We start from the raw sequence: 15557 nt of genomic DNA, 5'->3' as shown, positions 1-15557 counted from the left end.
CTCTGTACCACTCAAGGGGTATATTCAACACACATGGGTTTTATAATCCTTTGACCTTCATAAAAGTAGAAGATCCAGGACTTTACCCATTGCTTGAAGCCTAGCTATGAGAGTCAAAATCTCTCCTTTTGGCTTGGCTCATGTATAAGATTTATCATAGTGCCTGTGAGCTGGGCCAAAATGTATATCACCTTCTCAACTGTGGAGATCCACAGGCAGATACAGTGTCATGTGAGATAGGAGGACGACTGAGATGTTCTCTGTGAGGGTGTAATTGTTATTGTCCTGGGGCTGTTTCTAGATATTTTCAAATAAAATAAATTCAGAGACTTTAACCTAAAGAAGTATTGCAATGGTGGAAGCATCAAGCATAATATCTGCAAACATCTAAAATACTAGGCAGAAAAGAGCTGTCTTTGAAATGGAGGAGCAAGGTATATTAGAAAGAAGGGTGGGAGAGGAAGGGCCCCATGGAGAGTGACAAAATCCTTCAAGATTAGAGATGGTTTCACCCTGAAATCAGCCTGTTCTTGGGAGGGGCATAAAAGGGGTTGTATGGTTATATGTTTACTCAGACTGAAGACGGAGCAGAGGCCAGGGTCCCGGGGGAAAAAAGAAACAAGCAACCTGTGCCTAACAAGTATTTTCTTCTGAACTCTGAAGACAAAAGTATTTAATTGTTTATGAGGAGCAAATGGGAATGTGGAGAATCTATGAATCTGTGATATCTAAAACAGGATGTACCATCTAGGTAACAATGGTAAAGGTGTTTCTCTGCAGTAAGTTTTCTCACAGAACACAAAGAATTAGAGAGTTTTCTTAAATGTCACTATTTACCAGGACTCACTACCCACCCTGTCTTTCTTTTATGCTTTTCTTTGCTGTATCCATTTTTTGCATTTGGCTTTTTCTGAACTGTATTTATTATAATAACCTGGCAAGCATAGGTGAAATGTTTTGCCAAGTTCTGTGAGTAGTTTTATTAATTATTAAACTTCATGAAAAGGGTTATGGGAGCTTATGATTTATAGATAGATGCTCAGAAGCATAGACGTGCCCATGTTCGTTGTGACAGGCATGTGCAGTGGGGATGGTGCTGTGGGACTGAGTCCTGAACTTGTGGAGTCTATGCCAACTCTGGGTGGTGTCAGAATTAAGATGTTAAACTCCCAGTTGGTGTTGATGAATTGGTTGGTGTTCAACAAACTCCATGTATTTGGTGTTAGAACAAAGACATCACAGCAGCCTCGGCTGGAGGTATACTGTGGGTCTTTTGGGGAATAAAGACTCTATTCTTTTACACACATGCTGTCACAGTGTGAATTGTCTTGTGACAATAGGTCCCATCTAGGGGTCAGAGGGAACTGAGGATTAAAAGGGATGGAGTTCTGAAGGAAGACTCCTCTCCTCACCCTGCTGCTATAAAGTGATTCCTGCACACTCACACACATACACACTAGGCAATGATGTAGATACACCCCTCCCATGACAAGGCATCACCCTGAGAAACTGTGCTGACAGAACCTCTCCTTCTAGAGTTTTCCACTAATATGCTACATAAGTGCCCAGTGGACTCATGGCTTACTTCTATGCCCAGATCTTGCATCTGCACCGTGACCTATTTTCTCCAGTAGCCTAGGCTTCTCGACCCTCTGTCCATCTCATCTGCCTGCATACACACATTTAGAAATCAGAGTTACCCTGTGTGTGCCAGTGTCTATAGCACTAACCAGTCCTTTCACCAACTATGCACTGTTCCCTACTCATGGGTTTTTTTGTATCACTTTCTCTTAGTCTGCTTTTTTCTTCTCCACAAACCCTCTTTCACAAACCCATGTGCCTAAATACAAACCCTACTGGAAATAGAATGTCTAAGAGTTCAGGATAAAATTTTGCAACCAGTTTATTGTAAGCATAAACACAAAATAAAAATAAGAGATTTAATCTTTCAATTTGAAAATAAAAAAGAAAATTTTCTCATTTTTTAAATTATTTAATTTAGATAACTTTCATATGTAAATTATTATCTGCTTTTATGTTTTTTGTTGTCTTTCAAGTTTTTATTGAATCTCTGTTCTTTTTTTATTATTTTGTGTATTGTGTTAACATTGAGAGTAATTAGTTTTTTTCAAGGTTTTTGCAAATCAAAGTCATGCTGCTTATTTGAGATCTTTCTTTCTTCTTATTATAGAAATATATCAGTGTTACCTTTTGTCTTAGAACTGCTTTTTTGCATCCCAGAAGTTGTTGTATGTTGTGTTTTTATTTCTACTTTTCTCAAGATACTTTGTGATTTCTTTTTTCTTTTCCCCTTTGACCATGTGTTTTTCAGAAATATGTTGTTTAATATCCACATATTTGTGAGTTTTTAAATTTTTTTCTCTTATTGATCTCTAGTTTTAAAAAACTGTAATTTAAAAAGTTCATTAATTTTAATCTTTTTAAATTTTTAGAGATTTTCTTGTTGTTGTTGGCCCAACATACGATATATCCTGGATAATATTCCATGTGTGCTCAAGAAGAATGTGTATTCAAATACTGTTGAATGAAATATTCTGTTTATCACTGTTAGGTGCACTTGTTCTATAGTGCTTTGCAAGTACATTGTTTTCTTACTACTTAAAACGTTTTAAGTAGAGTAATAGCATCTTCTATTACGATAATAATTATGTTTTTTTCTACAGTCATATATAAAATACATTCTTATATAAATATTATATAGACATACTATTATTATATTATATACATATATACATATGTTTATATATTTATGTGCTCCAATGTTGGGTTCATATATAGTTATAGCCTTTTGACAGATCAGCTTGTTATCATTATATAGTCAACTTCTCTATATCTCCTGACAGATTTTTTTCTAGAAGTCTATTTTGTCTTATATAAATATAGCCACTAATATACTCTTTTAGTTATTATTGGCATAGTATTTTTTTATTATTTAACCAGCAACTTATGCATGCCCTTAAATCTAAAAAATTTCTTATGTAAAATATACTGGTAAATTTGTTAATCTCTTTAGACATTTGTGAATGTTTCAGTTCATTTTCTGCTTCAAAAACAGAATATCCTAGAGTGGGTAAACTATAAAGAATAGAAGTTTACTTAGCTCATTTCTTTAGAGGCTGAAAGTCCAAGAACATGCCATTGCCATCTGATGAGAATCATATTTCCACGTCACAAAATGGTCAAAGGCATAACGAGGACAGAAGGTGTACACCAGAGAGCTTACTTTTATAATGGAACCACTCTCACGACAACTAATTCATTCTGGAAATAACGACATTAATTCATTCATGAGAGTAGAGCCCTCATGGCCTAGCAAATTCTTTCTGTCGCCCAGGCTGGAGTGGAGTGGTGCAATCTTGGCTCACTGCAACCTCCGCCTGCCAGGATCAAGCGATTCTCCTGCCTCAGCCTCCCTAGTACCTGGGATTACAGGCGCTTACCGCCACGCCAGCTAACTTTTCTATTTTTAGTAGAGACAGAGTTTCACCATGTTGGTCAAGCTAGCCTCGATCTCCTGACCTCGTGATCCACTCGCCTCGACTTCCCAAAGTGCTGGGATTACAGGCGTGAGCCATCGCGCCCGGCTTTTGTTTTTTTGTTTTAGTTTTTTTTTTTTTTTTTTTATTATACTTTAAGTTTTAGGGTACATGTGCACATTGTGCAGGTTAGTTACATATGTATACATGTGCCATGCTGGTGCGCTGCACCCACTAACTCGTCATCTAGCATTAGGTATATCTCCCAATGCTATCCCTCCCCCCTCCCCCCACCCCACCACAGTCCCCAGAGTGTGATATTCCCCTTCCTGTGTCCATGTGATCTCATTGTTCAATTCCCACCTATGAGTGAGAATATGCGGTGTTTGGTTTTTTGTTCTTGCGATAGTTTACTGAGAATAATGGTTTCCAATTTCATCCATGTCCCTACAAACTTTTGTTTTTGTTTTGGTTTTGTTTTTTGAGACGGAGTCTCACACTGTCGCCTACGCTGGAGTGCAGTGGCGACATCTCGGCTCACTGCAAGCTCCGCCTCCCGGGTTCATGCCATTCTCCTGCCTCAGCCTCCTGAGTAGCTGGGACTACAGGCACCCAACACCACGCCCGCTAATTTTTTATATTTTTAGTAGAGACAGGGTTTCACTGTGTTAGCCAGGATGGTCTCGATCTCCTGACCTCCTGATCCAACTGCCTCAGCCTCCCAAAGTGCTGGGATTACAGGCGTGAGCCACTGCACCCAGCCAGTAAATTCTTAAATGTCTATCTTCCTAATTTTGTAACAAAGGGAGTTAAATTTTAACATAAATTTTGGAGGGGACATTTATACCATAACAGCGTGTTTTTATTAGATAATTAGACTTTTATATTTAAAAAATTATTGATAGGCAAGTACTTATTACTGCCAATTTGTTAATTGCTGTCTGATCATTTAGTAGATTTTATGCTGTCTTCCTTTGTGCTTTTGCTAATTTTTTTTTTTGCTTTTACTGTTGTTATATGCTTTGATCCTTTTTCTTTTTTATATCTATTGTAATTTTTTTCTTGTAATTACCGAGGCTTACATAAAACACTGCATAATTATAAGAGTCTTGCTTAAGATAATAACAATTTATCTTCTATGTATAAAAAGACTCATCAATTTTACCTTTTTCAACACACACTTTATGTCACACTTTAAAGTACATTGTCCTAGAACCTTCCTCCATAAACTTTTCAACATTCTCTCTTGAAGCTTCTGTATGGGCTCAGAGTAAAGCTGCAAATGACCACAACACTCCCTTATGTTAGAGGCAAAACTTTAGTCCTCAGCTTGCTGACTAACCTACTAGGCTCCTGAGTGGGCTGCCTGTGACCATAATTATAAATTTCAGGCCAGCCTCTTCTGTCTTTCAGGGTCTCGTCAGCCAACCTGGATTTCATGTTCTTCAGAAAATCTCTGGCCTTTCTTAGATGAAACTTTAGTATTTCCTCATGCCTTTGATGCCTTATTTGGTCCAAGAGCTCATCAAGTTGGGCCTCCTGGACCTGAGATCTGCCTCCAAAACAACAAGAGGCTGAAATGAGACACCAGAGCTCAAAAAGTTTAAATGACATGCACAGATTCTGCAAGTAGAATTGAAGACCAGGCAACCATAGAGGTGCAAAAATCTTATTACTACCAAAAAAGGTACCAAATTCGCCACTGACCCCCCATTTGTCTCTGCTTTGGGCCTCTGGGCTCTTCTCTCTTTCTAGAATGTTCTTCCCTGCTCACTTTCCATCTACCAGGACCCAACACATATCACGTTCTTCAGGGAAACTTACTCACCCCACCTATTCCGTCCCCTTCTATATTTTCCTGTGGCACCTGCTTCTAACTTTTCTTTTCACCATTTATACTTGAACTCAGATACAATATACAACCCCATTCATATCCTAGAGTTTGTCTTGATGCCAGACAGAAACACAAAATCAGCCCAGGTGTGGTGGTTCACACCTGTAATCCCAGCACTCTGGGAGAATTGCATGAGCCCAGTAGTTCAAGACAAGCCTGGGCAACATGTTGAGACTCCATCTCTATAAAAATTTTAAAAATTAACTGGGCATGGTGTTGCAGGCCTGTGGTTCCAGCTACTCAAAAAGCTAAAGTGGGAGGGTCACTTGAGCCTAGGAGTTCTAGGTTTCAGTGAGCTGTGGTCAAACAGCTGCACTCCAGCCTGTGTGACAGTGAGACCCTGCCTTAAAAAAAAGCAACAACAAAATTATATAAAGATATAGCTTTCTAAGAATGGTATGTACATATACAAATATATAATTCTGTAGCATCATAATAATGGTGCATAAAGCATTCTATTTCTTTTATAGAATCTGAAAGACTAGAGCATAAAAACAATCATAAACCTTTGTTAATGGATATGTTATATAAAATATAAAAACAGAAATATATAATGTAATTTAAGTTTGAAGAGAGATGCAAAGAGAGAAAATTTTGTATGCAATGAAAGTTAATTTGTTACCAGCTGAAAATATATTGTAACTTCAAGATGTTTTATTTAATCATCCTGATAACCACGAAAAATACCTGTAGAGATACAGCAAAGAAAATGAGAAAGGAACCACAGCATATTGCCACAAAAGAAAAGAATCAATGAGACACAAGAAAAGCAGAAAGAGAGAAAACTAGGAAAAAATAGCTATAAACAAGAAACACAAGTAACAATATAACTGATACGCTTTAGCTCCATGCTTCCACCCAAATTTCAAGTCACGTTGTAATCCCCAGGTGTCAAGGGAGGAAACTGATAAACCATGGGGGTTGATTTCCCCATGCTGTTCTCATGATAGTGGGTGACTACTTAGAGCTGATGATTGAAATGTGTGGCACTTACCCTTTCTCTCTCTCTCTCTCCTGCTCCACCATTGTGAAGACATGCTTGTTTTCCCTTTGCCTTCTGCCATAATTGTAAGTTTCCTGAGCCCTCCTAGTCATGCTTCCTGTTAAGCCTGTATAACTGTCAGTCAATTAAACTTATTTTCTTTATAAATTATTCAGATTCATATAGTTTTTATAACAGTGTTATAAAAAGACTAGTACAATAGCCATAGTAAGTCCACCTGTTACTAAAATTTAAAAAACATACATGATGTTCATCATCACTAGAACATCCATACAAGAAATGCTAAAAGGAGACTTTCATGTTGAAAAATAAAACAATGCTAGACAGCTAATTATAAAGCCATATAAAAATATAGAACTCTCTGTTAAAGGTAAGTATACAAAAAAATAGAGAATTTTCTATTATCATAATGATGGTGCATAAAATACACATAATTCTGCTATAAAATTGTAAAAACATTAAAAATTTGCATATGCTTGTTAAATACACAATATAAAAATCTATGTTGTAAAAATAATAAGATAAAATTTTGTTGTATTAACTTGATAAGGTAAAGAAAAGATGTAAAGAGGTATCTTTTTGTGCACAAAGTTAAGTTGTTATGAGATAAAATATATGGATATAATTTTAAAGTGTTTTATATACTCTCTATTCCTCCTGGTGATCACAAAAAAAAAAAAAACTATGAAAGGTACACAAAAGAAAATAAAAAATAAATCAAAATATGTCCTTACAAAATCAACAATGACCAAAAAAGGCAGTAAGAGGGGAAAGGAGAAAAAAACGTAACTAAAAGAAACAGAAAATAATTGAATGGAAATGGAAATTCTATTTTATTCAGTAATTACTTTAAAGATAAGTCAATTAAACTTTCTATACAAAAGGCATAAAATGCATAAATGGATTCACAATAAACAATATCCAAAAATATGGTGTTTTTAAGAGACTCACTTTAGGTCTAAAGAACTAAATAGGCTGAAAGAAATAGGATGAAAAAGGACAATCCACATGAATAGTACCAAAATAGGACAGGGTCACCATACTTATTTTAACCCAAATACTCCTTAGATTAAAACTGTCAGAAGAGACAAGGGATAATATTATGTAATGATAAAAGCACCTATTTGCCAGGAATCTCCAGCATGTATAAATATAAATAGGCACATAATATAAGGGTTCCCAAATATGTAAATATTGACAGAAACAAAGCAAGAAGTATACATCGACACAATAATTGTGGGAGGCTTTAATACTCCACTTTTAGTAGTAAATAGAAAAAACAGATAAAAGATCAATACAAAAGAAAACCTGAACAACATTAAAGACCAGTTAGACCTAGTAGACATATATAGAGCTTTTCAGTCAACCATAGCAGAATAAGCAATATTCCCAATCACATAACACACACTTAAGGAAAGACAATACATTAGGACACAAAACAAGTCTTATTAAATCTAAAAAGACTGAGACTATATTCCTTCTGGCCACAACAAAATGAAACTAGTAACTACAAGCAGAAGGAAAACTGTCATATCCCAAAATATGCAGAACTTAAGCAATACACCCTTGAACCCACTCTTGTTCAAGAGTCAGACGGCTTCATATTGTTAAAATGTTAATACTGCCCACAATGACATACAAGTTCAATGTAATCCTTAGGAAAATCACAATGGTATGTTTTTGCTGAAACATAAAAAATATCTAAAATGTATATGAAATCTCAAGCCACCATGAATAGCCACCATAGCTTTAGAAAAGAAGTATAAAGTTAAAGGCATCATATTTTCTGATTTCAAAACATATCAGAGTTACAGAAATAAAAACAGTAAGGTACTAGTATAAAGAGAAAGAGGTAATGAAACAGAACAGAAAACCCCAAAATAAACCCTTGTGAATATAATCAGATGACCTGCGCATGGGTTGATATGACCACACAATGGAGAAAGAATAGTCTTTTCAGCAAATGATGTTGGAAAACTGACAATCAACCAAATGAAAAATAACAATGTAGGATGCTTCTCTTGCACCGTATATAAAAACTATCTTAAATATTTCAATGTAAAAACTATAACTATAAAATTTTTTGAATAAAATATTCCAAATATGTCTTACACGGTGAGAGAATTATTACTTTGATCTTGACAATACTTTCTTGGATATGACATAAAAAGCATAAGCAACAACAACAAAAAAGTAAAATGAGACTGCATAAATCTATATATTAAACATCAATAAAATACATTTTCAGTAAGTGTCCACTTAATGTCATCAATAGGATCTTGAAAAATAACATTTTTTAAATTATAATTTTAAGTTCAGGTGTAAAAGTGTAGATTTGTTACGTAGGTAAACTTGTGTCATGGGGGGTTTGTTGTACAGATGGAAAATGACTAAGTGAAACATTGTACTGTATGCCATATAAACTTAATGCTTGTTTATATCAAGCACTTATAATAAAAATTATAATATTAAGCACTAGTATATTATATATTTGTATGTGTAAAATTATACATATAAATACACACACACAGTTGTCCCTTATATGGTTGTCCTTATGGATAAACAGGTATCCATAGGGGATTGGTTCCAGGGCCATCTTGGGATACCAGAATCCTAGATGCTTAAGTCTCTTATATAAAAAGAAAGATTATTTTAATATAACCTATGCACAATCTCTTGCATATTACTTGATTCATCTCTACATTACTTATTATATTTAATGAAACATAAATGCTATTTAAATAGTTTTGTATTGCTGAGGGAATAATGACAATAATGTCTGCACATGTTCAGTACAAAAGTAAACATTGTATGCTTAACTACATTTTATTCAAGGTTGGTTTGAATTCACAGATGTGGTATTCATGAATATACAGGGCCAAATCGTGTGTGTGTGTGTGTGTGTGTGTGTGTGTTTGTAGAAAAATAAATTCAGCCCCCTGTACCTATCAATTACTTAATAAAACTTTACTCCTACATTTGAAGCTGTCTGTATTGTCTACACAGTCTTTCCCAAATATAACTCTTTGCCTCTCTACCACAGAAAATAATCATTCATCCTCAGTTTTGAGAAAGTATAATTCCTTTGACTTTTATTATTAATTATACTACATATGTAGGTGTCTCTAAATAATACATTATTCAACTTTCTAAATTTTAAAACTTTCTGTAAAGATGCATACTCTATAGACTTCTATAATGCTCTTTCCTTATTCCTTATTCCTTATTGTAATTTTAAAAGCCTTTCATGTTTTAGTTTCTTATTCAAATATATGTATTGTTTATAAATTAGCCTCTTGAAGATACTGAAATCTACCTCAAAGAGAATTCTTGAGAGATAATGAATACAAAGTTCTTATAGCAGTGCTTGATTCATTGTAGTTGTTCAATAGTGCATATATAATAGTATATATAATGTTATAAAATTAATATATGTAGTATTGTGTTCTGGGCAACCAAATATGTTACTTTTCAGAAAACTATCACGGCAGCTGAATTTGTGCAAATGCGTTCGGGAACACTTTATCACCCAAATATAGCCATTGGGGAACCGGTGGGCTAAAATGGGGGCAACATTTTCTAGACTCCAATTTTCCAACTGGTAACTCGCAGGATGACAAGTCATAATTTCATGGTAATTTTGCACATCCCCAGGGGAGAGAGAGGTGGCGGCGGCTGCGGTTCCACCTTTGCACGCTCCCCGAAGGTGTCCCGCCGCTCCAGTCCCTCCCCGGCAGCCGCTAGCAGGAGCAACTCGGCGCTGCGCTGCGGGTGGGCTCAGGCCAAGGAGGACACGTCAGCCTCCGCAGGCGGTGCCTGGCGGTGTCACGCACCGCAGCTGCGCTGGGTTCATGGTTCTGTCCTGAGAGCACCACGAAGCGTTTTGGATTCCAAGTTGCGGCAGTAGGAGCAGCAGCCGCCACGACCGCAAAAAAAAACCCGAGCTATTGGGAGGCGGAGGGTGGGTGATCCTGAAGCAGGGTCTGCAGCAGGATACCCCCTGTCGGGTACTCGGCCAGACCGGAAGTCTGGGCGCAGGGGTCGTCTACGCCAGAGAGCGGCGTCAGCCCGCAGCGCAAGATTTCATTATTTCTGTGGTTAAATCCTATTCCATTGTGTATGTACACCACATTGGCTTTATCTATTTATCCCTTGATGGACACTAAGATCGATTCCATATCTGGGCTACTGTCAATAGAGCCATGATAAACATGGGAGTGCAGTATCTCTTCAATATACTGATTTTATTTCCTTTTAATATATACTCAATAGTGGAATTGCTGGATTAGATCGTAGTTTCATTTTTAGGTTTTTCATTTTTGTTTTGTTTTGTTTCTGTTTTTGTTTTGAGAAACCTGCATAGTTTTTCATGAAGTTTCTAATAAAAAATACATCTAAAAATGTACTAAATTTACATTCATGCCAACTGTGTATAAGTGTTCCTTTTTCTCCACATCCTCATCTAAACTTGTTATCTTTTGTCTTCTTGACAATGGCCATTCTAAATGGAATGAGGTACTATCTTATGTGGTTTTGGATTGCATTTTTCAGATAATAAGTGATGCTGAGCATTTCCTTGTGTCTTCTTTGGAAAAATGTCTATTCATGTCTTATGCTCACTCTTTAGTTGGGTTCTTTTTATTTTTATTGCTGTTGAGTCTCTTATATATTTTGGATATTAACTCCTTGTCAGATGCACATATTTTCTATTATTTTATAGGTTGTCTTATCACTCTGTTAATAGATTGTACGCTGCCCAGAAGCTTTTATTTTAATATTTTATTGATATTAATTTTTCTGTTTTCTGACTTGATACAAAGGTAAGAGTTTACCATCAGCTTCACAAGTTATCTGTCTTCTATCTCACTGCTTTTAAGAGTTTTTCTTCTTTTCAGTGTCATGCACTTTGATCATTCTTCTTTTTTCAAGATGTATTTTATTTATAATTGACACATAATCATTGTACATATTTATGGAGTACAGTGTGATGTTTCAATGTATGTATATTCTGTATAATGACCCAATCAGGGTAATTTGCATAACTAGCACTTTAAACATTTATTATTTATTTGTGCTAATAAAATTCAAAATCCTCTCTTCTAGCTGTTAGAATAAACAGTACTTTATTATTAGCTGTAGTCCCTGTGTAACAGAACATCAGACTTTATTCTCCCTATCTAACTGTAACTTTGTAACTTTGACAAACCCCTCACCATTCCTTCATCCCTTCACTCTCCCTAGCATCTGGTAACCACCATTCTACTCTCTCCTTCTATGAGATCAACTCTTTTAGATTTCACATATGGGTGACATCATGTGCTCTTTTTCTTTCTCTGACTGGCTTATTTCACTTAACGTAATGTCCTCTGGGTTCATCCACGTTGATATAAATGACAGAATTTCATTCTGTTTTATTACTGAACATTATTCCTGTGTGTGTGTGTGTGTGTGTGTGTGTGTGTAACATTTCCTTCATTCATCTGTAAGTGGGCACTTATACACTATTGGTGAGAATGTAAATTGGTACAACCATTAGGGAAAACATCATGGAGGTTTTTCAAGAATTTATAAATAGAACTACCATGTATAAGATCCAGCAATCTCACCACTTGGTATATATCAAACGGAAATAAAATCAGTATGTCCAAAAGATAATTGCACTCCCATGTTTATTGAAGCAGTATTCACAATAACCAAAACCATTATTTCTTTTAAGTATTTCTTAATTTATTTTTTGACTCATTACACTCTAAACTTTGATAAGATTCATGTCGTGTCTCTAATTTCTGAAACGTATGAGCCACCAATTCATTGAATATTGCCTTCCTGTTTATAGTCTAGTAAAACAATTAAATGTTTTTTTATTTCTTCTCATCTAGTGTTCATGTATAAATATATTTGTATTTTGTATTAATTTGCCTCTATAGAGTATATAACTACATTAATTGTACCCAGCATTTCAGTTTCGTAGTTCTCTCATTAGCTCAGTCTATTTTAATAATGTAATTTGTATGCCAGAAATTAAATTGTTTTACTACATTTTCAATACTTCACTTTCCATTTGCCTCTTTTCCAAATACGACTTGACAAGCTCGTAGGTTTTTTTCCACATTATTTTGGTTTCTTGTTTTTTCATGATATTGCAAACATTTTTTTTTTTTTTTCCGAGACGGACTCTCGCTCTTTCGCCCAGGCTGGACTGCAGTGGCACTATCTGGGCTCACTGCAAGCTCCGCCTGCCGGGTTCACGCCATTCTCCTGCCTCAGCTTCCCGAGTAGCTGGGACTACAGGCGCCCGCCACCGCGCTCGGCTAATTTTCTGTATTTTTAGTAGAGACGGGGTTTCACCGTGTTAGCCAGGATGGTCTCGATCTCCTGACTTTGTGATCAGCTCGCCTTGGCCTCCCAAAGTGCTGGGATTACAGGCGTGAGCCACCGCGCCCGGCCGATATTGGCAAACATTTTAATATAAACTTCATATCTGAGTTTTATGAGCCATATAATTGATCTAATGCTTCACACTAGTAGTGTATATCCTTTTCTGCAACATAATTTATAATTAAGTTCTCACATGTGGAAGACAGCACACTCCAGATGCCAACAGGCAATTTTTCTATGTTTATTCCATTTGCTTTGTCAGAAGCTGAACAACCCACATAGAACTGATATCCTTGTGATCAGATCCATCTGAAGGGTCAGTACCTCTTAGGTTGATGTCTCTTTGGATCATTACCTTTATTTTCTTCTGGTCCTGAGAAGTTTCCATATTTTTCTTTCAACTATATTAGGCATTTTGTGAATTCTTGCAACTTATTGGTAATTTTAGTTATCTGCATTAAGTTTTTAGAGCATGTTATTTTCCTGAAAAGCAGAAATATCAACATTTGCATACATGAATAAAATATTTTACATAGATTTTCTGTGGCATAGATGACCACCTCATGAGAAATGCCAAGTTTCTTCGTTTGAAATACCACTCTCTTCAATAGACAGTACTGTAATAATTTGAAGGATGTGGTTCTTTTTTTTACCATTAGAAAATTAATCATGTATTATACACAAATTTCTGAAATACTTTACTGCAGTAAATAGTATATAGTCAGAATCATTGTTTCCTTTAACATAAAACTAATATGGGCAAAATTGTTTACCTGAATTAAGATCTTTCGGCTTCAATTGCCATTCTACCTCATTAGCATTTCCCTGCCTCCATAAAAGCTATCATTTAAATTTTTTGTTTAATTCATAATTTATTGAAAAGAGCGTTTTAAATTTTTTTATGATGTTTGTATTGCAATTGAGGACATTTTCAATAAATATCTTAAACTTGAGGTCCTCGCTAAGTATTCCTTTTGCACTAGAAATCAGATTTCTCTGGTGCAATTCCATTGCCTGCAATAATATTTATGAAAACTACAAATGCCAGCGCACTATTTCAATACTCTACTCAGTTGTTCATATCTAAATATCTTGTTAGCTATGAAACAAGTCAAATATAAATGCTGAATATGTAGTACCAATAAACAAATTCTTCAAAGAAGTCAGTAAAACACTAATTTTCTACAATATGTCACCAGTTTATTAGATCTTCAATAACATTATTTATGCTATATCAAGTATAATAGGTTCTTTTACCTAGGTTCTAAAGGGCATAAACAATGATGCATATAGTCAGATTTATTTTTATAAACTTTTGATGTTTCTCTTGCTGTGCATCTTACTGTGAATATATGGAGAAAAAGACAAACGTACATTTAAGTTATTAGTGGTTACCTGAGTTTTGCTTATATGGCTTTTTGCTTATATGGATGACAAAATAAAATAATGAAGTTTGATAGGCTCATCTGTGCCCTGTAAACTTTAGTCCACTAACTGCATAACTTGATTCAGTCACTATTTATTAGTTTAAAAAATGGTTTTTAAAAGCTGCAAACCAAACTTTATTATACATTTCTGAATCAGGAAAGGGTAAACTGTGACACAGTACCTGTGTGCCACAGAGTCTTTGGGGAATAAAAGCTCTGCAGAAAATAAAATAAAATAAAATAAAATCGATAAGAGTTTCCAAACTTTTCCAAACTCTATTTTTAAGAAAGCTTGAGTTTTCCTCTGTGATTAACCTACACTCTACAGTCCCTTTTACCCAAGTCATGGTCCCTGGGTCATTTTTTTAACGTTTAGTTTCTGGGAAGTTTTCAGCAAACCTATCTCATGCTTTGTCCCAGTATGTTTGTTTTTGTTTTGGAGAAGGTGAACATCTTCAAATGAGGATGGATTGCCTGTCCCCAAGCCTACAGGTGTTCGCTGAAGCTGAAGCTGAATCAGAGTTTTCATTCCCAGCCATCGTTCCCCAGGCTCTCACCTTTTATCCAACCCATCTTCTGCAACATCTTACTTTTGTTGCTGTTGGTAATTTCAGAATGAACAGATGTAGGAGAATTATCTCTTCGGAAGGTTCCTTCACTTCCAATCTGCTCACTATGTTTTCCACCTCTATTTTTATATTTTAGATTCTTCAATGTCTATTTATCTTCATAGTCTGTTTCTGTAAACATATTTTAATTGTATTTTCTTTAATTATTTTCTTATTTCCAACTATTTTTTCTCCTTGCTTAGAGTTGGTCCAATTAACAATTCATCTTTCTTATCAAGGCAAGGGTGAGCTCTAACTTGTCGTGGTTCACAGCCAGCCCAGGTATCAGTGCTAGGATGAGTGTAAAAGGGTAACACAGTCTCTCCAATTTTCAGTTCATGACTATGCTCAAGTACATAAGGGTCACATTAATTTCCAGTTGAACAATCCATTTTCCATTAACAACTGTTCTCTTTTGACTGCCTTGATCTACAAGGACATAACTTTGTAAGTCATGGTCAAAATAAATTTCTGCATGAAACTTACTGACACCAACTTCAGGGATTCAAAGAGTATGCTCAGGATCATTTTCTCTTCCAATTGCCACAGGTTTTACAGCAGTAATGATAAAGAGTGACCCTGTATGCAACACAGGTGATCTAATGACAATTACTCTAATACACGGGACATTTTTTTTTCTCATTTTCCTCCTTAGTATCTTCTGCAGTTACATTCCCTTCACTGGTAATGTGAGGAGGGCTGCACGGGGGCCATAATGGACAGTTGGGGAGCCAAGAGGCCACGGGAATG

General features: G+C 35.7%; 2 pseudogenes; both read right to left on the bottom strand.

The window, feature by feature from the left end:
• Positions 9795-10334, bottom strand: C2orf69P4 (chromosome 2 open reading frame 69 pseudogene 4; annotated as a pseudogene).
• Positions 14466-15497, bottom strand: AGGF1P9 (angiogenic factor with G-patch and FHA domains 1 pseudogene 9; annotated as a pseudogene).

Source organism: Homo sapiens, chromosome 16 (genome assembly GCF_000001405.40).
Source record: "Homo sapiens chromosome 16, GRCh38.p14 Primary Assembly".
NCBI classification, from domain to species: domain Eukaryota; kingdom Metazoa; phylum Chordata; class Mammalia; order Primates; family Hominidae; genus Homo; species Homo sapiens.
Note: the sequence above shows the minus strand (reverse complement) of the source record. Positions and strands in the feature narration are given on the sequence as shown.